This window comes from Homo sapiens, chromosome 18 (genome assembly GCF_000001405.40).
Source record: "Homo sapiens chromosome 18, GRCh38.p14 Primary Assembly".
Taxonomy (NCBI): Eukaryota; Metazoa; Chordata; class Mammalia; order Primates; family Hominidae; genus Homo; species Homo sapiens.
This window is the reverse complement of record NC_000018.10, coordinates 12984391-13011579: the sequence shown is the minus strand read 5'-3', so window position 1 is coordinate 13011579 and position 27189 is coordinate 12984391. Positions and strand designations below refer to the sequence as shown.

General features: G+C 41.5%; 2 protein-coding genes across 31 annotated transcripts in view, besides 4 other annotated features; both read right to left on the bottom strand.

Annotated features, from left to right (window-relative positions):
• CEP192 (centrosomal protein 192) overlaps positions 1-20218 on the bottom strand; it is a 133675-nt gene extending 113457 nt beyond the window's left edge. For 23 of the 24 annotated variants that reach the window (XM_006722326.4, XM_005258107.4, XM_047437562.1 and 20 more), the window contains exons 1-4: positions 20143-20218; positions 11992-12159; positions 9998-10123; positions 2949-3124 (exon numbers count right to left, since the gene is read on the bottom strand). In XM_006722326.4, the coding sequence (XP_006722389.1) occupies positions 2949-3124; positions 9998-10123; positions 11992-12155 (466 nt within the window). In that variant the 5' untranslated portion in view covers positions 12156-12159; positions 20143-20218. Of the gene's footprint in view, positions 1-2948; positions 3125-9997; positions 10124-11991; positions 12160-20142 lie in introns of those variants that run through there. The other variant, XM_011525675.4, reaches the window with a different exon arrangement.
• Positions 10957-11036: a silencer, noted in NCBI's record as "silent region_9327". NCBI's record gives its function as "represses an Ori minimal core promoter by ATAC-STARR-seq in GM12878 lymphoblastoid cells {active_cell/tissue: GM12878}" and the evidence as "EXISTENCE:reporter gene assay evidence [ECO:0000049][PMID:35858748]".
• Positions 19957-20036: a silencer, noted in NCBI's record as "silent region_9326". NCBI's record gives its function as "represses an Ori minimal core promoter by ATAC-STARR-seq in GM12878 lymphoblastoid cells {active_cell/tissue: GM12878}" and the evidence as "EXISTENCE:reporter gene assay evidence [ECO:0000049][PMID:35858748]".
• Positions 20517-20896: an enhancer, noted in NCBI's record as "active region_13112". NCBI's record gives its function as "activates an Ori minimal core promoter by ATAC-STARR-seq in GM12878 lymphoblastoid cells {active_cell/tissue: GM12878}" and the evidence as "EXISTENCE:reporter gene assay evidence [ECO:0000049][PMID:35858748]".
• Positions 21287-21899: an enhancer, noted in NCBI's record as "H3K27ac-H3K4me1 hESC enhancer chr18:12989680-12990292 (GRCh37/hg19 assembly coordinates)". NCBI's record gives its function as "activates a minimal SCP1, AML or CMV promoter by ChIP-STARR-seq in primed H9 embryonic stem cells {active_cell/tissue: H9 hESC(primed)}" and the evidence as "EXISTENCE:reporter gene assay evidence [ECO:0000049][PMID:30033119]".
• The window catches only part of SEH1L (SEH1 like nucleoporin), a 39526-nt gene continuing 36380 nt past the window's right edge, over positions 24044-27189 (bottom strand). For 4 of the 7 annotated variants that reach the window (XM_011525742.4, NM_001013437.2, XM_011525743.3 and 1 more), the window contains one exon: positions 24049-24718. In XM_011525742.4, the coding sequence (XP_011524044.1) occupies positions 24523-24718 (196 nt within the window). In that variant the 3' untranslated portion in view covers positions 24049-24522. Of the gene's footprint in view, positions 26341-27189 lie in introns of all 7 variants that reach the window. The other 3 variants (XM_011525744.2, NM_031216.4, XM_017026025.2) reach the window with 1 other exon arrangement.

The window sequence follows — 27189 nt, the reverse complement described above, 5'->3', positions numbered from 1 at the left end:
ACACCACGCACTAGGTGTGACAGAGCAAGACTCTGTCTCAAAAAAAAACAAAACAAAACAAAACAAAGTTTCTGTGTGGACATATGGTTTCCTTTCTCTTGGGTATATACCTAGGAGTGCAAATGCGGAGTCACATGGTAACACAATATTTAACATTTTGAGGAACTGTCAAACTGCTTTCCAAAGTGGCTATGCCACTTTACATTTCTACCAATAATGTATGAGGATTTCAATTTCTCCATATCCTCACAAAGACGTTATTTTCCTTTTTTTTTATTATTATAGTTATCCTAGTGAGTGTGAAGCAGCATCTCATTGTGGTTCTGTTTTTATTGTTTCTTTTTTTTTTTTTTGAGACAGAGTCTCTCTCTGTCACCCAGGCTGGAATGCAGTGGCACAATCTCGGCTCACTGCAACCTCCACCTCCCAGGTTCAAGTGATTCTCCCGCCTCAGCCCCCCAAGTAGCTGGGACTACAGGCGCCCGCCACCACGCCCAGCTAATTTTTGTAGTTTTAGTAGAGGCAGGGGTTCACCATGTTGGCCAGGCTGGTCTCGAACTCCTGACCTCAAATGATCCGCTCACCTCGGCCTCCCAAAGTGCTGGGATTACAGGCATGAACCATTGTGCCCAGCCTCATTGTGGTTTTGAATTGCATTTCCTGGATGTCTAATGATACTGGGTATATTTTCATGTGTTTACTGGCCATTTGTACAACTTTTTTTTTTCTTTTTGAGATGGAGTTTCGCTCTTATTACCCAGGCTGGAGTGCAATGGCGCGATCTCGGCTCACCGCAACCTCCACCTACCAGGTTCAAGCGATTCTCCTGCCTCAGCCTCCCACGTAGCTGGGATTAAAGGCATGTGCCACCATGCCCGGCTAATTTTGTATTTTTAGTAGAGACGGGGTTTCTCCATGTTGGTCAGGCTGGTCTTGAACTCCCAGACTCAGGTGATCCGCCCGCCTTGGCCACCCAAAGTGCTGAGATTACCGGTGTGAGCCACCGTGCCCGGCCCCGTCTTTTTCCTTTCTTGATAGTGTCTTTTGAAGCATAAAAGTTTTTAATTCTGAAATCCAATTCATCTATTTTTTTCTTTTATTGCTTATTTGAGTGATAATACCACTCTTTTCTTTCATATATATAACATTTTTCATCAAGAGAAATACAAACCTCCCTTAAAATTTTTCTAACATATAATGTGTACTCATTCATCAATCTTACAACATATAATCAGGCAAGTCCTTTTGAGTACTGAACTAGTTTGGAGTTACAGAATACCACACTATATAAGTGCATAGAATGTACTTTTCAATTTCCAGCTTTGATTTCTTTGATAAAAGAAAGTGAATGTGGAGTACTTAAGAGGAATCAGACAGCAGAAGCCTATGATTTTTTTAAACAACTTTCCCTATATTTTTATTTATTTATTTATTTTTGAGATAGGGTCTGGGTCTGTCTCCCAGGCTGGAGTGCAATGGCATGATCACCTTGACCGCCTGGGCTTAAGCAATCCCACCTCAGCCTCCCAAGTAGCTGGGACTAAAGGCGCACAGCACTATACCCTGCTAATTTTTGTATTTTTTGTACAGACAGAGTTTCACCTTGTTGCCCAGGCTGATATTGAACTCCTGGGCTCAAGCCATTCACCCACCTCAGCAGGAATTACAGGCATAAGCCACAGTGCCTGACCCCCCATATTTTTGTAGTTTCTTCTCCACATCTAATTTGAGAGCAATTTTTCTTTTTGAGACGAAGGCTTACACTGTCACCCAGGCTGGAGTACAGTGGCACGATCTCGGCTTGCTGCAATCTCCGCCTCCCGGGTTCAAGCGATTCTCCTGCCTCAGCCTCCCGGGTAGCTGGGATTACAGGTAGCCACCATGATGTCTGGCTAATTTTTGTATTTTTAGGAGAGACAGGGTTTCGCCATGTTGGCCAGGCTAGTCTTGAACTTCTGACCTCAGGTGATCTGCCCACCTCAGCCTCCCAAAGTGTTGAGATTACAGGCGTAAGCCACCATGCCTGGCCCGAGGGCAATTTATCAAATGACTTATCCTTGAGTATTTCCAATGCATTCAACCTAGTTTTCTTAGAAACAGTAATTTCTTTTAGAACTTATAATTCATCAGTTTTATAAAAAAAATAGGCTTAGAAACAAAATTGACTCTCGATAAGAATATAAATTAATTAGTGGGAGAAAAGTGGAAGATGCACTAAAAATAGGCTTGTCTTGAATATAAAGTATGCTGTGGCCATCCGACAGCATGGTTTCCAAAGCAAAGAGAATTTCAGCTTAAATGAGTCAACAAGGTTAAGAGGAGACCTTTCCTATAAAAGTACTGTAAATATGATATTAATAGGTACAATGCAAACCAAAGCATTTTCAGTTCATGGTATGATAGTACAAGATGAATACATCGAAGCCAGGAGTGACGATGCATGCATCCAGTCCCAGCTACTCGAGAAGCTGAGGAGGGTGAATTGCTTGAGCCCAGGAGTTCATGACCAGCCTGGGCAACACAGCTAGAACCCATCTCAAAATTAAGCAAAAAAAAAAAAAAAAACAAAAAGGCCAGGCACAGTGGCTTAGGCCCATAATCCCAGCATTCTGGCAGGCCAAGGCACAGCAGATCATTTGAGTCCAGGCGTTCGAGCCCAGCCTGGGCAACATGGCGAAACCCTGTCTCTATTAAAAACACAAAAAGTTAGCCTAGCATGGTGGTGTGTGCCTGTAGACCCAGCTACTAAGGAGGCTGAGATGGGAAGATAGGTTGAGCAGCCCAGGAAGTTGAGGCTGCAGTGAGCTGTGATCACGCCACTGCACTCCAGCCTGGGCGACAGGAGTGCGACCCTGCCTCAAAAAAAAAAAAAAAAAATCCAAAGATAAGGAAATGAAAAAGGAAATTAAAACATATGCATTAAGAAATAATTTCAAATAGTTCAGTACCTTGTGCTTGTTCCAGTGGTGAAGCCCTGTTGAAGAGATCTTGGCCCTGCAAGGATTCTGTAGCTCCGGCTGGCTCCTCTTCTGGTCCTGCTGTCTCCATTTGTAAAGCTGACTGTTTGCTGAGAGCATTTGACAAACGTTGACTTTCCACATAGCTCTTTTTCCTAGAGATAGAACTTTTTTATTAGGAAACAGAAGAATGATAAAATGTTAGTTACCTTGGGTAAATCTACAAAATATTTATTAATCAGTTATGTATTTTACCTCTTAAAAAGAAAAAATGGAAGCAATAAAAAGAAACATTTGAGTCTAGCCAGAAAACTACAACTGCTAACACTGCACTGTATTCTGGGGACTGAACCAACATTTTGGGTCCAGTGATACAGTCTACCAAAATCAAAGAACGTCATACTGCTACTCTTTCAAGCAGCAAAAAGTGGTTTTTTTACTTCCAAAATAAGTATCCTTGAAACTACCAATCTACATAATTCAGCTTTCTAAAATCTGCAGACTTAAAGGATATTGGCATATTTGCCAAAATAGCCAAATCTCTGAATTAATAAAGGTTTCAATCGTTTTTACTTTTATCCCTAGTCCTAGTTCTTGTCCTTATCTTTCTTTCTACCTCTGCTGTTTTCTGTGTGGATGAAAGTATTTTTCTTACAGGCAATGTTCCTCCCACCCTACTCCAAAAGCTCTTGGGTCTAGAGCAGCTCACCACAGAAAGAGAGGGGTGGGAACGGAACTTCAGGAAAAAGCCTCTAAATGCAACAAATTCATTACATGACAAACTGATACCTAGAGCCAGACTCAAATTTGGCCAGGATGGATTTTTTTTTAAAAGTCCTTCCATATTTCTCAAATCCCAACCTTTCATGCCTGAGGCAACTCTCCAACCCTAACTACAATTTACTTCCCAGTTTCTCCATCTCTTTACTGGGGCTGTAGTACATAAAAAGTCACTAGCTTAAGCCAAAGGTGCACTCATGGGTAGGTACAGGAAAATTTCATTGAGTACAGGAAAGGAAAGGCATAGGTGGAAAGACTATACATAGTTACAAAGTCAAGAGGTAGCAAGGACAGAAAGGAAAAGAGGTGGGGGAGCAAGATGGTGACAGGAAATAAATAAACAAGTCAGGACAGTTAGGTCAATTTCCATGTTTAAAGCCCTCCCTGAGAAAAGCATGTAGTATGACCACCAGAACTTTAGAGTGACAGGGACAGTTGAGAGCAGGGCACTCGACATTCACCACCATCTCTCTAAAAATGCTACTTCCTCAAAACGACAGCTATCCCATATTTTTATTAGCTCAAAAAAAATTTTCAAACTAAGTCATAAGTTTCAAGTTAAAGAGGCAAGAGCAACTTCCAAGTGTCCAATAAAATGACAGTAAGGAAATCTATAAAAGTGAAGCAATCTGGGTAAGAACTACCAGTCCTAACCCACGCTTACCCCAGATTCTGGAATCTGAAAAGCAGATGGGGTGTGCAGGGGGAGAGAAAGCCACAATCCAAGAACAGAAGGGCCCGGAAGCAGAAAAGGAAACAAATCTGCCAGGGAGAAACACAAAAATGTTCCTTGACTACAGTCAGAAAGAGGGCAGAAGGGAGTCGGGGAGGGCAGGAGAGTGGGGACGGAAAGCCCGGCATGAAGCATGGCAGGAGCACCCACCCTTCTTTCCCACTCCAGAGACAACAGCCATGCACACACGACAGTGAACACCTGACAACGGGGAGGGAAGGGCTTGCCTGCAATCAAGGCACAGAAAATGCCTGTGGAGAACGAAGCGATGGCAGTTACAGCGGCCCAGAAGAAAGCATTAAACATCTGGCATAAAATTGAAGACTCCAACCTGCACACTCTACAGTAAATGGCCAGGAACAACGTCCCTCTTGTGTGGAAGCCAATGAGAAATAAGAGCTACATACACAACAGATAAGGATGCCCACACTAGGCAGCCTAGAAGACAGCCACAAATCAGACAAGAAAAAAAGGAGCAGTTCAAGAGACAAAAATAAAAATGAACAAACTATGCAAGCAGCCCCGGAGAAAAGGAACAGTTTACAGAACTTTCAAAATTTCTAATCAGAATCTTCAGAAGTATCCATGTAGCTGTTACAGTCAACCCTCAGTATACATGGGGGACTGGTTCCGGGACCCCTGCATGTACCAAAATATGCAATATTCAAGTCCTACAGTTAGCACTGACTACACTCGGGTTTCACATCCATGAATACTGTATTTTCCATCCACGTTTGGTTGAAAGAAATCTGCTTATAAGTGGAACCACACAGTCCAAACTCGGGTTGTTCAAGGGTCAAGTGTACATCCACAAAAAGGGCCCATTAAAAAAAAAGGTCAAAAAAAGAGCTCTCATGATTAAAATTATGATTGCCAAATGATTTAATGAGCATGAGAAAAAAAGAAACTTACCTAGAACGATGTCTTTTTGCACTAAAACAGAAAAAAAGGAAAAAAAAAGTAGATATAGAACAACCCAGGCAATCCAAAACAGTAGTTCTGGAAAAAGAAAAGGAAAAACTAGAAGAAAAACCATAATTATCCAGAACTGATCTCCAAACCAATGCCAATTAGAATTCAGTGAATGGGGGAAAATAGCCCCACCCACAAGGGACTCAGACGGGATTCTAAAATTTCCAGAGAGAAAACATAGTTCAGATAAAAAACCAACTATCAAGATTATACCAGACTTCATGTACAATGTAGCAATATCTTCAAAATTGTGTGAAAATTTATTTTCATCCTAAAATTCTGTACTCAGCTAAAGTATTAATTTATTCCAAGATTAGAATAAAGACATTTTGAAACACAAATTCCCTCCTCCCCAAGAAGGGGTCAAAGAAGCCATCCCTCACCAGGAGACTGAGGCCATGCCTCTCCAGGCTGCTGACCCTCCAGTATAGTGTCCAAGGAAGCCCTATACTCAGACCAGCAACTCAGGGCTTCAGACTATTCAAGAGTCAAGAGCTAGCTCTAAGCACTTACCTCTCCCCAGGCACTGAGTCTAAGACTCCACCTCCCCAGGCCTCCTGTCTTCCATCAACAAGGACCAACAAGACCAGTTTCCAGAGCTCCTGGCCTCCAGCAAGAGTCAAGAGGATACCCTCAAGATGCCCTCCCATCCCTGACATTTGCAGTTTCCTCACAGCAACAGGTGAGTCGGACTAACTTCACAATGCCCTTTACTGATTTTCAGCTCCTAAAAGCAGCCCAGGATGCCTCACTGCTGGCACTCCAAGCCCCTTAAGACTGCACAGCCCTTCTACTCCCCAACAAACAAAACCCTTCTACTGTGCCTTCTATAATTTACAGAGCTGGGTTGACAAGATCTGCCATTCCTGAATCTCTTCTCTGAACATTCCTTTCACCTTACTACTTTAATGAAAGCCTGAATAGCCTGTGAGGACATTGCTACCCCCAAGCTCTGACAAGTGGGGACCCTCATCTCTCCCACAGCCGTGGCATCATCACCTGGTGTGGAGATGGAATATATACGCCCTTCTTGCCCTCAGTGCCACTTCCAGGTCGCTCTCCCTAGAGCCTCACAGCTTTGAATCACCTACTACCCCTCTTGCCTCTAGTACCACAACTATATGATGCTAACCCCACCTGCACCTCCAACCCATCTGTACCACCACATCACTCTCCCTGCCCCTGTCCATACCCTCTCCTCCTCCTTAACCTAAAGCCAATCTTACATGGCCAATCTTACATCCTCAGCAACCTTGTCCCTCACTCCCTTTATAAACTACAACCCTGGTTAAATCCAATTCTCTGCCTCCTCTTCACCTGCACTCCTACAGCTCAATGTGGCTGGGGAAACATCACAATCACCCTCAACAGTCACGCCCACGGCCCTCAAGTTGGGCCCTTGATGTTGTCCAGGAATCCTAACATTTCAACTCTGTCCATTCATTTTCCTGTGGTCCCATGTGATAATTTTACATCCTTTTTTTAAACCACCAACTCCTCCTCCTCCACCCTCACGCTGACTTGATGACTATGCTTCCTACTTCACTAACCCTACTTTCAGCCTGAAGCACTGAAAAGGTAACTTCCACAGATTCTTACCACTACATGCACCCACCCAGGCCGTCCTCCCACCTGTTCCCGCAGGGGAACTGTCCGCAGTCCTACCCAGCTAAAGCCACTCCCCGCACTGCACATTGTGGCCTACCCTCTCTTACTGACACAGACGTTGCTGCAGCAATTCTCTTCCCTTTCTACATCAGCAAGTTTTACCCTTTCCAGGAGATTATTCCTATTATCACGCAAACATGCAGCAACTTCTCCCACCACAAAAAAAAAAAGTGAAACTTCTCTTCACCCACTACAACCATCCAGCTGTCATAACCTCGTTTCTCTGCTCCCTTTCACAGCAAAACTCCACAAGCTGTCTACTGCCTCAAACAGTAACTCCTGTTCTCTCTGAAACTCATTCTGAGTAGGCCATGGTGCCTGTCCCTACTTACACCAAACTACTTATTGGGGTTACCAATGACCTAATCTATGCTAATTCCAAGGGTCAATTCTTTGCCCTCATTTTATTTGACATAGTTAGGTAACTCTTCTTTTATACATGCTCTTGACATGGCTTCCAGGATGCTTGTTTTCTCCTTCCTCTGATCACTAACTCTTAATCTCGCTGTTGATTCCTCCTGTCCCCAGCTTCTCACTGTGAAGCATCCTGAGGACCACGCCTGTTCGCTCTCTTCCATCTGCCTCACTCCCAGACAATGTGCCCATGCTGCTCCCACTCTCGCCTCCTACAGTCTCTTTTCCACATAACCGCGAGAGTGGGCCTTTTTTTGAGATAGGGTCTCACTCTGTCACCCAGACTAGAGTGCAGTGGTGCAATTACGGCACACTGCAGCCTGGATCTCCTGGGCTCAAGTGATTCTCAGGGTGGGACTTTTAAAACACAATTCAGATGGAGCCCTCTAGTGGCTTCCCGTATCTCTGAGTCAGAGTCAAGGTCCTGCTCACCACCTCCCCAGCCTCCCTGGTGCTCTGTGAACCACATGGGCTACTCTCCTGCCTTAGTTCCTTCAGGCTGGCCGCACCTTTGGCCTGAAGTCTGCTTCCCCCTGGCGTCCACATAGTTAACTCCCTCCCTCAAGTCTTGGCTCATATCTTCTTTTTTTTTTTTTTTTTTTTTCTTGAGACAGAGTCTCACTCTGTTGCCCAGGCTGGAGTGCAGTGGCGTGATCTCGGCTCATTGCAACCTCCACCTCCCAGGTTCAAGCAATTCTCCTGCTGCAGCCTCCCAAGTAGCTAGGATTACAGCCACATGCCATTATGCTTGGCTAATTTTTGTGTTTTTGGTAGAGATGGGATTTCACCATGTTGGCCAGGCTGGTCTCGAACTCCTGACCTCAGGCGATCTACCTGCCTTAGGCTTCCAAAGTGTTGGGATTACAGGCAAGAGCCATCATGCCCTTGGCTCATATCTTATGTCCATAATGAGACCCATACTGACCACTGCCTTCAGCCTACCTAATAACCCTCCTTATTATATTCTATTTTTTTCTAGCACTTTTCCCTTTCAATATACTATAAAATTAGCCTATTTTAGTGTCTTGTTTAACATCTGTTTTAGTCACTGGTATTTCCTAACCACCTGGAAAAGTGTGTGGCACACAGTAGGCACTCAGTCAAAATTACACACTGAAGGAATGAATACACAAGGGTTAACATCTTTAATATAAAGAAAGCACTTATATATAAAGGCTATCAAGAGGCAATTCACAACATAAATATAAGTAATGAATAGACATTAAAGTAGGTTCAATCCCATAAATACGCAAATACAAATTTAAACACAGAAAACAAGATTGTCTATAATACCACCATTCCCATTTTGGTTTTTTAGACTTCCAGACTTTCTTTCATGCATATATACATATGTATTATATAAATTATTTTTACCTGTAAAAATCAAAGATTAAAAATAGCACCATCAAATGCTGGGCAGGGCTGGGAGAAGTCGGCATTCAGAATAAACTGGTACAAGTTTTCTAAAGAGCAATGTGTTAATTTGTAATGGTCTTTAAAATAAACTATTTTTACCTCAGCAATTTAAACCCTAGAAATCTTAATAATATCCTAGGTGCGAAAAATGTATATATAAATGTACATGTAGGGAAGTTCATTACCTTTATAATAGCAAAACTGCAATAATCTAAATGACCAACACAGACCTGAGTATAGTCATTAACATTATGACACAGATTCATATTAATTGTAATTGAAAACTGAACATAATACTGCATCTAATTTTTTGTGTAATAGAATAAGAGCTTAATCTTATTTTGTAAAAAAAAAAATTTATTTTCATTTTTCTTTTTCTATAGCCTCATATTAGAAGTAAAAAGAAGATTTAAAGGCATAAATGCACATACAAAATAGTATGGAAGACTACAAATAAAAATGTACTCAATGGCTGTTCTCTAGTTAGTGGGATTACAGGCCTTTACTGTCTTCCAAATAATTTTCTATATTCTCTATTTTTTCAAAAGCACGTTACTTTTAGAATCTAAAAAAAAATGTTTTGAAAGACTAAACGTGATTAAAATGCATAAAGAAAACTCTTGGCCGGGCGCGGTGGCTCACGCCTACAATTCTAATCCCAGCACTTTGGGAGGCCAACGCGGGTGGGGCGGTTCACTTGAGGTCAGGAGTTTGAGACCAGCCTGGCCAATGTGGTGAAACCCCATCTCTACTAAAAATACAAAAACAATTAGCTGGGCTTGGTGGCACCTGCCTGTAATCCCAGCTACTCAGGAGGCTGAGGCAGGAGAATCACTTGAACCAGGGAGGCAGAGGTTGCAGTGAGCTGAGATCACACCATTGCACTATAGCCTGGGCAATGGAGTGAGTGAAACTCCGCCTCAAAATAAAAGAAAACTCTTCAAGATTCTTAGAATTAATCAGAATTAATTACATACACAATCACATTGTCATTTTCCACAAGACTGCGTAAGACCCACTTTTAACACAGTACAAGCAAATGAAGGTATGAACTTACTCATCATCCTGGAAGCTAAGCTGTAACCTCTCTCTTGGTTCAGCATCACTCTGGCTTCCGGGAGATGACCCGGATGGAACTGAAAATCTCCCTTCTACTAAGTAAGATGCCTGGATATCAGGATACCTATACAAAAAAAATTTGTTTTAATTGTTAAGAATTAAATTACACATATTTAAATGTCATCATGACATAGGGCTGCGTGACAGTAAAACCAACCACCGGGGTAAAAACAAATAGGGCCCCTGTATTTCAAACCATCATCCTCTGTGCAAAGCACGGAAACCTGTGGCTTGGCAATAGGGAGTTTATCTGTATTCAACAATACAGTCACAAAAATCTTAAAGCTAAAAGAGCTGAGAGTGTTAATACAACCCCTTCAGCCCAAAGGTCAAGATGGTGCTCCTCACTAAATGTTTAGGTTGAGAAAAGACAAGAAAGTGGCCAGTTTAAGCATAGGCAAACTTTATATATTATGCAAGACCCTACATGTAATGGATGTGTAAACTATACACAATCCAGTTGAAGATACAAAACAAGGTGTATTTAACCAAACATCAATCTGGTAATAAAACAGAAATTTTAAAAGTAAAGAAAATAAAAGCTGGTTGAGTTTTGGGGGTTTTTCTTGAGACAGAGTCTCCCTCTGTCGTCCAGGCTGGAGTGCAGTGGCCCAATCTCAGGTCACTGCAATCTCTGCCTTCCGGGTTCAAGCGATTCTCCTGTCTCAGCCTCCCGAGTAGCTGGGATTAGAGGCGTGCGCCATCACGCCTGGCTAATGTTTGTATTTTTAGTAAACAGGGTTTTGCCATGTTGGCCAGGCTGGTCTCGAACTCCTGAACTCAGGTGATCTGCCCGCCTTGGCCTCCCAAAGTGCTGGGATTACAGGCATGAGCCACCACGCCCAGCCTGGTTGAGTTTCTAAGAAAGAGAAACTTGACTTCAGGAGCTGAAAGTTACTAGAATGACAAGAGCCAAGTTACCTCAGAAACCTAGGACAGATTGAAAGCTGGAAGAGAAAGAGAAAGACAGCCATACAAGTCCAGTAAAGAGTAAACCTGGCTGAAATGAATTAAAAAGTGAGGCTCTGTCATACCTCTAAATAGATCCAATGACCCAAAACTCTAGTCACAGGTGACTGTATTTGGAACAGACACCTAACCTAAGATGGACCAGAAACTCATGAGATATCAAGAGACAGTTCAGTAGTCTCCTTGTGTAGCTAGAAATGTAATTCATAGATGTCTTTTGAGAATCTGTGTTGCCATATTCTGTAAAATGAACAGAAAAGCAAATAAAACCAGTGTATTAAAAAAGAGCAGAGGCCAGGTATGGTAGCTCACACCTGTGTAATACCAACACTTTGGGAAGTTGAGGCAGGAGGATCACTTGAGCCCAAGAGTTCAAGAATAGCCTAGCTAACACAGCAAGACCCTATCTCTATAAAATATTTTTTTAATTAGCAAAAAAAAAAAAAAAAAAAAAAAAAAAGAGAGAAGACAATGAGTTATACAGAGAGAAATAGAGTGGGATGACAAAAACCCAAGTCCTGATGGCTTCCTAAATCTCAATTCCTGTCCCTTCTTGCAGCAAAGCTCTGCACTCCTCCCCTTGATGTCAAGAGGTACTCCTATAACCTTATGATTAATTTGCCTTTGAACTTCGCTAACACAACTTGTTTTACATTACTAGCCATTAGTGTGACTGAACTAATACAAATCCAAAACACTATAGACAAAAAAAAAAAAAAAAAATAGACCGAAATAGGTAACTGGTGCTCAAATCCCAAACCCACCCAAACCTACCCACTGAAAAGGCAAAGCAATGGGGAAAAAGACAGTAAATTCTGTCTTTTCTATATTCATTTCACATATTTGGCCATCCCCCTCATAGATAAAACAAAAAGCTCAAGCTTGACTGAGAAACAGAACATAAATATCAGCATGCTATAGGCTTTATGGACCTGGAAAAAAATCTGCTCAAACAAATCTTACCTGTTATCAGTGCTGGATCTATCCCTAGCAAGTGTAGAAACAGCAACAGGCAAGCCAAGATTTGAAGAAAGAGTGACATTTTCCAAAATCCCACTGTTACCAAATAATGAATTGGTGAGAAAGCTTGGAAATGATTCTTCTGCTATACCTCGAAAATCTTCCATCTCACTGCAATAACAAAAGTATTTCTATAGGTCACATATTACTATAAAATGTTTTTAAATGATTAAAAGCATTGTCTTAGAAAACTAATAAATCTTAGGAAAAAAATCCTTTTTTTAGCATTAGTAAGGGGGAAATAGGCAAATAGTCTGAGGTAAAATAAATCTCAGAATACTTTGCTACTTTATAGATGAGAATAGAAACCTTAAACATTAAACTTACCTTCTTATAATTAACATAATAATGCAATACAACACATTTTAATTTGCCCTTTGCTTGGTGTAGCTAGGAAAATGAATTACTACAAACTTATCTAGTAAAGAAAGCAAAGATGGCATAACACTGATGGTATATACAAATGATTTTAGGACATATTTAAAAGTTTGGTAGTTACATACTCATTCTAATACGGAACAGAAAAAGTACAACCAGCAAAAATCTAGCCCGGATCTCAGTGTTGTTAAGACTGAATTAAAAAGTGAACCCATTCAAAGAACAATTTTCAGTTAAAGTATAGTTGGCACATGGACAAGGTAAAAGTGGTAAAAGGGGTACCCAAATGACTAAATCTGGAAAACACCAGCACAAAACCTATGCTATTACTAGAGAACCTGACCACGGTGCTCTGAAGATGTTAGCTAGTCTCAACAATTTTTCAGAGTACGTATCATATACACACTGCATGGAAATCAGTAAAGGAAATAATGGCAGAAGGATAAAAAGATAAATAATCAGGAAAAGCTAAAAAAAATGAGAGGATATTGGCAATGCGCCTTGAAGACTGAGAAGAACTTTTATAGGCAGAGTATGGGATGAGAGAGTTTATTTAGGATGATAAACATGAGCCAAGAAGGAAAAGAATTAAATTTTATTGCATATCTACTAACTTAGCTCACTGAATCCACAGAAAATCTTACAATGTAGGTATTATCCCATTTTACAGGTGAAGAAACAAACTGAGAGACTAAATTAGCTCAATTTTCCCAAGGTTGCAATTAGTAAGATTCAAACCCAGGTCTGACTCGAAAATCCACTCTAAGTGCTAGGTCTATGCTGGCAGTAGCAAATACTCCAATGCATTTTGGCAGCAGGTGAACAAAATAACACAGTAAACGAAGCTAGAATAACAGAATGGAGCCAGATTCTAAAAGTCTGAAACGGTGTGTTGGAAAGTTTGAACTGTACTCTGCAACCAACAAAGAACTGACACAATCAACCTATTATACAGGAAGGGAGAGGACTTAAAAACCTGGAAGACTATTCAAAGAGCTACTTCAGTAATAAAGGAGTATACTAGGATCAATGACAAATTGGATTAAAGCATAGATTTTAGACAGTATGGACTAATTATAAAATATAAAAAGAAAAAGAAGAAGTTTTATGACCACTAAAGAGATTATGAGGCCAGGTGCGATGGCTCATGTCTGTAATCCCAGCATTTTGGGAGGCTGAGGCAGGCGAATCACTTGAGTTCAGGAGTTCAAGACCAGCCTGGCCAACGTGGTAAAACCTCGTCTCTACTAAAAATACAAAAACTAGCTGGGCGTCATGGCGGGCACCTGTAATCCCAGCTATTTGGGAGGCTAAGGCAGGAGAATCACCTAAATCTGCGAGGTGGAGGTTGCAGTGAGCCGAGATTGCGCCCCTGTACTTCAGCCTGGGTGATGGAGCGAGACTCTATCCCCCCCAAAAATAAGAAGAACTTACTTGTTTTGGAATAGGAGTTAAAAGAAATTAAAGAATGTGTAAGCAGAAACTCAGTTCTATGTAAGAAAACCCAATTCCCCCTGAGAAAGAGAAAGAGCTGGAGCCCTTTAAAAATTATCTGCCTGTTTTTCTGTGGCTAGTAAGCCTTATCTCTCCTCCTTTCCCAGGCATTGTGAAGACCCTGTTTCTCTAGCTGTGCAGCTGCAAGGTCACTAGACAGATAAACTCAAGCCATAAAACACATTTTTTCCTTGGAAAGTAAGAAATGATATAATGCATGTCTCAATTAATTGAATAATTGTCTTTGTTTCTTGCTTCTGTAATATGCTTCCTCCTGCACAGATTCCCCCCTGCCGCCCCACGAAATCCTTAAAAGGTAACTTAACTCTTTGTTCAGGGCTCAGACTTGTTCAGGGCTCAGACTTTTTGGATGTTAATCCGACTGGGCCGGTGCACCTAAATAATATATCCTCCTCAACCCCTCGGTCTGATTCCTAAATTATCCCACAACAGTTTATGAAGTGTCCATGCCCCTGTCTGAAGCCCACCTCTTCACTTTGCACTCGATCCCAACCCCTCACTGCACTGACAACCACTCTACCAATCGGCCCCCTTCCATAACATGATCGAGTCTTCTGTCTGTGCAAGCCCTCCCACGCTGGGCATGCTGTTATTTCTCCCACCTTTTAAAAAAAGCCTTCCTCTACCTCACACCCCCATTATCCCCCTGAACTGCCACCACACCTATCCATGCTCCCTTTATCACAGGCTTCCAGAGGAATCATGACTGGCATCCAGTTCCACTCCCATCCTCTCCTGAACGCACCCCACTCTGGCCTTCATCCCACCACACCACCAAAAAAATGCTTGTCAGCATCAGCCCTGATCTCCCTGTTGCCAAGCCGTAGCATACTATAATCTACCTCCGGTCCTTCTTCTGTAGCCTAACATTCAGGTGATTACTCCTTCCTTGGGGAAATACTTTCTTGGCTTCATTTCTCAGACACAGCTGTCTGGTTCTCCTCCAACTCCACCAAGCTGCTGCTTTCCCTTCTCCTTGGCCAGTTCCTCCTTATCTCCTAGACCTCCACAGAGTGGAAGCCTCCAGGGCTTGATCTTCAACTTCTTCCATCAACTCACCCTCTCTGGGTGATTGCCTTCAATTTCAAAGCTTAAAATATCACGTAAAATGTACACCTCCATCTTGGGCCTTTCCCCGAACCTCAGGTATTCAACCGCCTCCACAACACTTCCACTTAGATGTCTAACAAGCACCTACATTTGAATCTTGATTCCAATTAATTCCCATCCCCTCAAGAAATGCCTGCCCTTCAGCCTTCCCCACCAGCGAAAATGACAACTCCAACACCTAGCTGCTTAGGCCAAAAACCGTAGTCATCTCTGAGATCCCTCTCACACCCCATCACGTGCAATCCCTATGCAAATCTCTAGAGTTATACATTAACAACCTGCCCAGGACCTTGCTGCATCCCCCCAACCTACCCCCCAACCCTGCTATGACCTTGGTCAGGCCACCACCACTTCCTGCCTGGACACTCACTGCAATAGCCTTTGGTCTCCAGGCCTCCTCTCTGCCTCCCCTAGTCTACTCTCCACACACGAAAGTCACCCTATAACATTACTGAAACGTCCTCACTCCTTAGCTCAAACCCTCCCTCCACTGGTTCCCCATCTTATTCAGAGTAAAAGGCAGTCTTTAAGATGGCCAACCAGGGCCCAGATAATCTGTGACTTCGTCTCCTCTACTCTTCTCCCTTGCTCACTCCATTCCAGTCATCCTAACCTCCCTGCTGTTCCTGAAACATGCTAAGCCAGCTCCGCTCCAGGACCTCCACCCTAGCTCTGACCTCTGCCCAGCCCCTGATGCTCCAGCTATTCACACATTTTGTACCTTCACTTCTTTCAGTTCTTTGTGCAAATGTTCACTTAGCTGTCAGGCCTTGCCTCCTCAACCTACAGATTTGAACAGGGCACTTCCCAACCTCCTTTCCCTGCTTTCTCTGTTCTATAGTACTGACCACCACCTGCATGCTATGTAACTCACTTGTTATCTCTTTTTCTCCCCACATTAGAATGTAAGCTCTATGAGGGCAGGAACTTTGCCCATTTGGTTTGCCACTGCATTCCCAGCTAGAACAGTGCTGGCACGAGACGCTCAATAAACTTGAGTGAATGAATGAATAAAAATTTTCAAATTATGTCAATATACAGCAAATTCATCACCATCATATAAGCACTCTGCTCTCAGATCATGCCCCAGCATTTTCTTCTCTTTGATATTTCCAACTATTCTCTCTTCTTGATTTCCATAAACATGTTCAAAATCCTCCCATGAGGCCGGGCGTGGTGGCTCACGCCTGTAATCCCAGCACTTTGGGAGGCCGAGGCGGGCGGATCACGAGGTCAGGAGATCAAGACCATCCTGGCTAACACGGTGAAACCCCGTCTCTACTAAAATACAAAAAAAAAATTAGCCGGGCGAGGTGGCGGGCGCCTGTAGTCCCAGCTACTCAGGAGGCTGAGGCAGGAGAATGGCGTGAATCCGGGAGGCAGAGCTTGCAGGGAGCCGAGATCGCGCCACTGTACTCCAGCCTGGGCGACAGAGCGAGACTCCGTCTCAAAAAAAAAAAAAAAAAAAAAAAAAATTCCTCCCATGTTAGGATGGAGGAGGCAGGAAACAACCTGCCCTGATTTTTCATTTGCATGTCCTGCCACCACCTTCTCACCTTCCCTTCATGGCCAGGCATCTCAGAAGAATACTCCATAATCCATACTTTCACAACTCATCTGACATCCTCTTCCTTTATTTGCTCCTCATATGTTAGGGTTACCCAGGATTCTGACCTCAGACTTTGCATCATGCAATTTACTTCTTACACACTAGGGATCTCAACTCAAATGTCTTCAGGAACAACTATTGTTAGAAAACAGAATTATAAGGACTGAGGTCAGCTGGAAATTACAGGCTTTACCTAAAACTAGTTAAATTCAATACACTGTTGTCAAACAAAACACATCTACTGGTGTAGTCCATTCCTGAGGGCAAAACATGTCTATGTTCCAAACACACCCTGAAATAGTCTATATCTTCCTATCTCCATTACTACCACCTTACCCTACTGAAAAGCCTCCTCACCCTTTTCCATGTTTTTATTCTTGCCACCCTACAATTAATTATCCAAGAAGCAAGCAAAAAGACCATTAACTATGAATCAAGTGCCATGCCTCTCCTGAAAACTCTATGAGGCCTGTCACTCTCTCCCACCCTCTCAGGCTCATTCACCACATACTAGATTTTCTATTCTTGTAATACCCCCAAAGCCCACCCCTACCACAGGTCTAGAATATTCTTCTCCCAGATCTTTGCCTAGCTAGCTCCTTCCTGACGTTCACCTCAATTTATATGTTACCTTCTAAGAGAAGTTTATCTCTTATTATTAAGTCAAACAGCGCCACAGTCAATCACATCCATTTAAATTTCTTCAGCATTTATCACTATTTATTCTTGTATTTATCTGTCTTCTTCCAATGAAATAATTTCTCCCTAAGAGCAGGGGCCTTGCCTATCTGTCCATCACTATTTCCTTAACACTTAGAACAATGCCTAGCACACAGCAGGTACTCAGTAAGTATCTGTGAAACGAATGAATGACAACATTCTCAGTCAGTGGGTAAACTCTACTTTAACTTTAACCCCTATAAATTTAGAAGAGCAGCTTCTTGGGGAAATGTCTATCTTGTTCATCCACATATTCCCAATACCTGACAGAGAACTGGAAATACAAATTGAAAAAACGAGTTTTAAGAAAGAATCTATAACCCCTAGTTTGCTGATACTGTGTCTATTATTAGGTAATGTGCTAATTATTTCACATACATTTTTCTAATCCCCATGTCAAATTTGTAAGGTAGCCATCATCCCTATTATTGAGGAAACTGAGGCTGAAAGAGAGAATTAAGAGACGTTTCCAGTCCACATAGCACAAATGAGGCCAGAGGATTCCCACCTAGGCAAGTCTGGCCCCAGGGTATTCTTTCCTCTGCACTAATTCCACCTCCTGGTGGTGCATGCCTTGGAGTCCCAGCTACTCAGGAGGCCACGGTGGAAGGACAGCATGAGCCCAAAAGTTTGAGGCTGCAGTGAGCTATGACCATGCATGTGAATAGCCACTGCAATCCAGCCTAGGCAACAAAGTGAGACCCTGTCTTAAATAAATATACAGGAGCATATGCATCAGTTATATGTAAATACTACACCAATCTATGTAAGGAACTTGAGCATCCAGAGGATTCTGGCATCCTGGGGCAAGGGCAGGTCCTGGAACCAATCCCATGGATAACCTGAGGGAACGACCATACTTCCAAATGGCTCTCTGACATCTACCTTACCCCCGAATGCAATACAAAATACAAAACCAAACTTGTTACCTTTCCTCCATTCATTCCCGCCGTTATCTTTAGTCTTCACCCAAATCCATCCCTATTAACTGGCAATACAAGCCTGACACCTAGGACCATCCTGATCCCTCCTGCTCTCTCACCAAATTCTAATGCTTCTAACGTCAAATACACTTCTGGAGCTGAGACCCACTTCTATATTCCTAATGCCCGTTGCCCATCACTTTTTATTCTGAACTATCACACGAGTCTCCCAACTAGCCTCCCCAAGTCTAGCCTTGTAATTACTAAGTTATTCATTCATATACAGACATGTAAACTATTAAAATTTATAGAAAACTCTTCAACAGTTGTCCCTATTTAGAAGGGCCTAATCCAAAGAAAACTCAGAAATTATGCAAAGGTCATTCATGCAACATTCATTATCAAACACAAACCATGAAGAACCCTCTACTTGGCACCAAGAATGCAAAGATAAATAAGGCAGCTCCCCTCAGGGAGCTGACAATCCCTGTCAACTACGATAGTGTTAAGTGCTTCAACAGAGCTTTGCTAAGGGTGCAAAGGTAACAAAACCCACGGGAAGATTCCTCAAGATGTAACCTAATACCTAGTCTCTTCTCCAGAAAAGATTACACTTGTAAACCATTCATGGACATAACACATTCCTAAAGGAAATTTCCTTTAATTTCTCACATTATTGCATTACCCACCCCTCCTCCATCATCTCAAGTGAAGACAATATTTTTCTTCTATCCTATTTGAACTGAGTGGCTATATTTGCAATTTCTCTTGCTATTTCCTTAAAGTAGTGACCTCAAATTTCACATCTGGACTCACTAATTACATTCCTAGGTACATAAAAGATTACTGACTATAGTCATTAATCGTAGGTCTATGTATACAATTAAACACATTTAAAAGCACACGCCGTGGAACCCAAAGCCGAGTCAAACTTCCCCAAAACTCATCATTTACTCTTGGCACTTTAAGATATACTTTAAAACTAGGTAGGCATTTGGTATATTATTGTTCAAGGCTTGCCGTTTTTGCCTAGAAAACTGAAATTTGGAGAAAAAGTTGATTTTGGAGCAGTAAAAACGCCAGTCGAATGACCTCAAAATAGTAAGAGCAAATGGAAATATGGTCATATAAACAGCTGTTCTCCAAACGACTGACTTGAAGAGGTCCTCATGTTTTACTAAACAAACTCTGAAAGTAACAGCAAAGTAAAAGTAGAGTGTATTAACATTCGTCTCATTTCACGTTCTGTTGATAATGAAATCATAGGCAAGGAATGTAGGTAAACTATTAGGAATAAATGAACGCAACCTAGCAGAAACCAAATCAAGTGAGTAAACGGAAGACAAGGGCATTAAGTTAAGTTAACAAGGTTACTTCCTGGGTCAGAATTTTAAACAAAAAGGAGGAACAGAACCGCCCATCACAGGGCACATAAAGGAAACATCACCGGTCACTTCACAAGCACACTGCAAGAAACTCCAGAGGGTAGCACGGAGAGGGCCTGTCCCTCAAGAGGTGGAAGTCCCCAGACAAGAGGGGAGGAAAGAAGGACGTGATCCCCTAACAGTCTGTCTCATCACGCCCGGCCAAAGCCCGATGACACAGAGGCGTGCAATTAATCCCAACCAGGCGGAGCTCAGCTCAGAGGCTGCGCCAGGCGCAGAGGCGCGGGAAGCGCGGCAGTCCCCTTGCTCGCGCCCTGAGGCCGCCCCACAGCCTGCGCCCCCACCCGGCCCAACCGTCACTGTCCCGTCGGTCCGGCAGCCGAAACGTAGGCCAAAGGTGCATGCGTCTGCCTCCCGCCTAGGCGCAGGCCGAGGCACCAGCGTCCCCCCTCACCGAGCCCGCGTCCCCGACTTCGGAGGGCAGTGTGCAGCGGGAAAGTCCACGGACTGAAGAGGTGTCCCAGGGCACTGCAAGTGCGCGTGCGCGTGGCCCCCGCACCGGCTGGAGCCCGGAACGGCCGTACCGCGCCCGCCTCTGGTTTACGTCTGTTCGCGGCACCAGGCAAGGGGAGGAGACTGAGCTGGCTTTTGATTGGACAGCGGGAAGACATGGGGCGGGAAGAAGCCCGGTGATTGGTGGGGACAGCGCGTTCCTGGATTTGAAGCGAGGAAGCCGCGCGCCCTGCGAGTCCGGAGGAGGAAATGGAGCTCTGCGCTGCGTGGGACCCGGGGGACGGCTCCCGTTGGCGCCGCCTTCAAGGTCTTGGCGAATTTGAAAATAATGCTTACTTTATTCAGTTTGGGTCTCCAGGGCACCGCCAGTCACTCTATGCGCAAAGAAGTATCCCCCGCCAACAAATCCCCCCCGATAGGTTTCGTCCTTCCGTGGGCAGATGCAGACCTTTCCTGTTGGTAGGCGCTGAAAGGCGTCAGGTTTCACCTTCAATCAGCTAATTCCTCGGGATCCAAGTTTCATGACATTTCGCCACATCTAGTCGCCTCTTTGTGACAGAGTAGGCTTTGTCTCGATTGCTTCCTACTTTTCTCCATCCTTCTTAGGCCACAAAACCCATCACCGCCATCTGCTCGGCACAGGCCCTTAACTACTTCACTGAGACCATGCCTTTCACTCAAAATGTATCTCAGTCTTTTTCAGTAAGGTCCCTTATCTCAAAATTTATTCCATATAGTCACAGAGGGAAAAGAGTCCCTCTTTTCCAAAGCTAACTCCTTAACTTCGTTCAAGTTACTGAAAGATGTCCGGCGCACCTTGGAGGAAAGAAGAGGGAAAACGCAAAGTTTAGAAGTCCCTAGACCTGAGGTTACTTGGTGGGGAAAGACGTCTGTTTACTTGACCACTTTCTACCTCCTGCAAACATGGCTCACCTGTCATTCTTGGATATCCTCTCCACTGGTTTCCTTCTCTCTGCCTACAAAAATGCAGCACCTCTCTACCCAAACACACACACCACACACCCATACACCACACACACCACTCACACCACAAACCACACACACCCACATATGCACCACACACACGTGTGTGACACGTATACACACATCCATACACAACACACACCCACATACACATCACCCACACACCACACACACCCTCCACACACAAACACCACTCAAACCACACACCCACACACACCCCTTCCTTGATTCTGTTTCATCACCTAATGACCATTCTTGTTTCCTTCCCTTAATGGTCTCCACTTTTTTTTCCATAGAGGAAGCCAGGCTTCCACTTTTTACACCTTATTTTGACGCATTTCATGGTGTCTAGCTGGGTCCTTAAAACTTTATCAGGAATAGACTCCTAATTGTCAAACTCAGTGATATCTCCACAGTTCGACACCTCTTCTTGGAACCCTGCAGCCTTGGTATTTGCAAAGAGTAATTACCTTTATTCTACCTTTGTCCACACTCAGTGAGCAAAGATAAATGCAGAAAATCTCAAGATTTTCTGAATCCCAAAAAAGTAAGCCAAATGCTCAGCCCTAGAGCTGACCTCTCTTAACCTCTTTTTCTACAAAGCGGTCACACATTGGAGGTGAACTGCTTAAATGTGTCTACAGGTTCCGGACTGTCACTCACACCAGATCCTTGTTAATAAATGTCCTTCCTCCATAAATATCCTCAAGTCACCACAGCACTCCCCACAACACTCAGTAACCTGATAGGACTCTATTAACAGAGATCTCTGATTCAGAGTCTCGGCAGCAGGAGAGCCTGGACTCTGACGCCAGGCTGCCTGGATCTGAATCCTGGCTCTACCTCCCTCTTCCAAACTGTGTAGCCTTGGGCAAGTAGCTTTAACCAGCCGGTTTCCTTGTCTGTAAAGTGGGGATAATTAAAGCGCTTGCCTCAGAGGCTTACTGTGAGGATTTAAAGCTACTTCTGTAAGGTATCTAGAAAAATAATGGCCCATGGAAATACTCAACAAACATTAGCTATTATCTTATACCTCAGTATCTCACCTCACTTGCCAACTGGAAAGGAGGAACAGAACTCCCACTGTGATTTCCAAATCTCTTTAGACACTGAGTAGAGCCTGCAGAGGCCCCATGACCAGGGTGCCTCCCAGGGAATTAGAAGTGAGGCCTATCCAGTTTTAAGTTCAGACATCTCTCAGCTCCCCTTTTACCAACTGCTTAAAGTGGTATGCCTCAGCCAATACTCAAAACCTTCTACAATGTAACCACAAGGTATGATTTCAGGTTAATGTCCCAGTAGTTCCCTAAATGAACCCTACTCTTTCATCAGACTGTTACTTATATCCTATTCCGTAAACACACCCCGGCCCTCTTTTACCTATTGAAATCAGACATCCCTTCCAAATTCTGCCAGCTCAAATAACTTGTCTCTTTTATGCCTACTATACAATTTCTACCATTATTACAAAGCTGAACCCATTACCTTTTGTAAATTCTAAAAATGCCTTCTCCCACGAGTGTAAGTTTGTGTGCAGACTACCTATTTTTCTACATACCCCAGTGTTTGGCACAGTATCTTGCACATGGTAGATGCTCAGGATTCACTAAATTAAACTGGAGAATGGTCTCAATTTCATTATTCCATTCTTACCCAAGGTACCTCTATGTCTGAAAGCTCAAAGACATGGCTTCTTAATTCTGGGTTAGATTCAGCATTAAGACTTCTTGTTTGATCCTCCATAAGGCTACAAGCCTAGCAAGTCATTTAACCAGAGGAAGACCTTTGAGAATTATTTGAAAAAGATATTTACATTGAAATGCTAACTTTAGAGACAAAACACTTTGATTATTAGACAATAAAACTCAAATGTTCCTTAAACTAAAATGAATAGGCTAGGTGAGGTGACTCATGCCTGTAATCCCAGCACTTTGGGAGGCCAAGGTGGGATGATGGATTGAGCCTAGGAGTTTGAGACCAGCCTGGGCAAAAAGTGAGACCCCTCACTAAAAAAAAATTTTAAAAAAATAGCCAGGGCATGGTGGCGTGCACCAGCAGTCCCAGCTACTCAAGAGACTGAGGTGGGGGGATCGCTTGAGCCCGGAAGTTCAAGGCTGCAGTGAGCCATGATCATGCCACTACACTCTAGCCTGGGCAACAGGGTGAGACACTGTCTTAAAAAATAAAAAATAAAATAAAATGAACAGAATCTTTCTATCAGCTCTTAATCCTTTGCATATTAAGAAGTACTAGAGCTATGACACTATTCAAGGAAAGGCGTCTTTGAAAATTAGAATAGTTATAATAACTATGTCACCTATGTGATTACCTGATATTTCATGTAATCTGTTACATGAAATACTGTTCAAAACACCTCTCTCTCTAGCCCTGATAAGAGGTTAAACCCTTGACAATTCCTGACAAAACTGAACCAACAAGCATATTACTAGTTTTAATCATTTTACCACAATTATAATCAAGTACATTCTCATTTTAAAATATTCTAGAAAATATTCTAATGTTGACTAATTAGACTGAAAGTCAACATCTGTCCATTCTAAATGTTAGTAGTCTACATACTGACTTTCTACCTTTTAAATAAATGTAATATTTGCTCACATCTCCTAATTTTTGTTTGGGTTTTTTGTGAGATAGTGAAAGAAGAGTAAGCCTTGGCAATTATCTTAAATAAAATACATTCTGTTTTTATAAGGCAAGAGATTCGTATATTTTTAAATATATTTTATTACATAACCTACTTGGATAATAATTACAAAAGCTTTAAACAGTAATTCCAAGTAGTGAAAGGCAATTTCCTTTAAAAAAAAAAAAAAAAAAAAAAGACCAAAAAGTCCACATTAGGTTTTGCTGCTTTATACACAGGAATGATTTATTTTACATACTAGTCAGTTACAACATTAGCCTGTAAAATGAAATCCATTTTTTAAGGTCTCATAAGGCAGAATAAACTTCATAATATTATGCTTTCACATTAGCCAGTCTGATAAAGCATAAACAACTTAAGACTATGGTAACAGTTTAAAATAAAATTTACAGAACAGGCACTTTGAAGTCAGCTACTGTGTGTAACTTCACAGTTAACGTTACTTGGACATATCTCATTTCATCAAAGGTTATCACCCAGTGAAGCAAATGTTCCTTTGATGCAGACGCACAAACAGATTTAGGTTCCAAACACTGTATTCTGGTTGTAATACATGCAAGACAGACCCTAAGTTAGAAAAATCTTCTGAAAGAAAATGAAAAACAAAAAGCAGCCAGAAATGAAAGCATTTACAAGCACTTGAATAAGGCCTTTCAATGTTAAATCAGTGTTTTAAATCCCTTCATTCTCAGGTAAGGGATTAAGAGGCCGAGAGAGATATCGTCTGCGAGGGTGAGGATACTGGAGGTTGGCAGTGTCAGCATCGCAAGAGTGCTCTACCAGAGGAGGAGGAGGAGGAGGAAGGAGCTGGGCATAACTGGACCATCTCGATCCAGCCCGTGGGGAATCCAGAGGGGTAAAGAAATACCTGAAACAATGAAGACAGGAACAAAACACCAAACAAAACAAAAACAGGAAAAAAAAAACACAAGAAAAAGAGAAAAGTAGTAAATACAAAGAGAACCAAAGAGGAGAAAACACATGCTAGAAAAAAAAAAAAAAGCTTTAGTATATTCATGCCAAAACTAACAGAACATAATAGCACAAATCAAGACCCTTACTCAAATCAAGATTGCTTAAGCAAGTATAGAAACTTGAAAGGAATACAATCTGTTAAACTTAAAATGTTAAAAAATATATATAAATGTTACAAAGAAAAACATTAATTTTATAAATTCAAAACATTTTCTAATCTCTCAGAAACATCTGATGCTATTCTGTACATTTACAGATCTAGTTAAGTTTTTTATCTTAAGCAATGGTTCACTCACAGCAGCAGCAAGCACACATTTTTTTTAGTGCGTACATGATACTGGGAATACACATAGTATGGCTGGCTACTGCAACATGCTTTTGAAGAACTACAAACATTGAACACTTATTTTTCTGCAAAAGCCTTAGAATAGCTACCAAATTTTGATAAGTAAAAGGATTCACAGAATGACTGTGCCCTACTGTTATTCTTCTTCCATCTTGTAACTTACCGATAATACTTACGCATATTAGCAAACTTAAATATTTATAGCTTTGTTATCAAGGTCAGAACTTTACAGGACATGAATTAATTTAAACAGCGAACTAAATTAAGAAAATCTTGAGACATGGAATGCTGACAATTAATTTACATGCACAATTTTAGTAAAATTTTAATGGCTTCTCTTAATAGTGTGTGTCCAAATTTTGATTTGAAGGAAGCTAAGCCATGGAATAAATAACACCATAAAAATACACAAATGTATATAAGAAACATTTATCTCTTTAGTGACTATGAATTAAAAACTTATAAAAAAAGTGTTTCCATCTTAGTCCCAAATTGTAAATGAAACAATACCAAATGCTTAACCTGGCTACAAACTGTACAGTCAAGTTCCTTTCATTTTACTATTACTACTTTATTAATTCACTCCTTTACTAATATTTTTTAAATATTACAAAGAAATGACAGAGTTGTACTGAATATCATGGATAAAGCAAATCTACAAAAAGTAAACAAATCAGCACTCAAAACAATCTTTATAAAAAATATTTATTCAATCTTCAAATTAAAATTATAAAAGTTCATCATTTTAAGCTGTTTTAAGAAAGCAAAAGAAATATGTCTATATTTTCCAAATGAACTAAAGTGGTATTCCCCTCCTCCCAACTACTCAGATAAGAATGGTAACAACCCTTTTAATCTTTAAACCCAAATTAGTTTCAGGAACATTTCAAAAAATTGTTTTGGTGACAATGTCTCAACAGAAAGCCTCTCCGTTTATATTTCAAAAGTTTCAAATAGTGTCAATAAACTGACTAGTACAAAAAATATACACTGTATTTTTAAAGGCCTTTTGGATTGCGTTTAGTAGTAAGCAGGCTGCTGGTGTATCTTGGGAGAGGTCAAACGGCGCTGGGGAAGGGGAAAAGGAGCTCGCTTTCCATTCCTGTGTGCATGCAACAAGCAGCAAAACAGCAAAGTTACTCCAGTTAGCTTGTACTCAGCTGTGCTTTCTGTTAAAGGACATAATACAAATGGAAAAGGGAAAATGCATCACAGATCTAACACAGATGGTTATTGGCACAATAAGAATACAGATCAAAAAATAGAAGCTATTTACAAAAGAAAATATGCAGTACAGGCAGTGACCAAAAACCAGACTTTAAAAAATCAACTCTAATATTATTTGTTTCATGAAATAATCTTTATAATCTGGTATCTTCCACGGTAACCTGAAATTGTTTTGATGCATGTACTTAAAACCTCAAAATCAAAAGCAGAACTTCTTTATGAAAACATAACAATATAAAAATAGTTGAAATTTTAAATACAATTTTCTTCTTTTATATAGGATAACAAGAGGATATAACCACAGGACAATTCATTAGGCTGTGTTTTGACGTTTCCTGAATTCTATTCCAAATTATTCACAAAGGCATATTAAAATAATTTTATCTTACAAATTCACATATTTAAAATTTGAACATGGAAACAGACTCTAGATGACATCAAATATTCCTTATTATGATATACAAGAATGTAACATATGCTAAATATTCTAAAAATCAATCTCGTGTTTTATTATTTCCTCTTATTTCTATTAAAGTTTTAAACACAAAAGCCAAATAACTTAATGTACCCTCTTCTAGAAAGCCTTAAGAAATGTATTTTATTTAAAATTTCAGTTTGACCTAATGCAAAGACCACACTACAAGCACTAAAAAACACTAATGTTCATTTGGACTAAAACTCTCACCATTAAACCAGATAACCTTCCTCTCACTGTTGCGGAAGCAAAGTTGAATCTTAAACCTGTAAACATTTCTACCAATAGACCACTAAAGCTTCAGAATATAATGTAA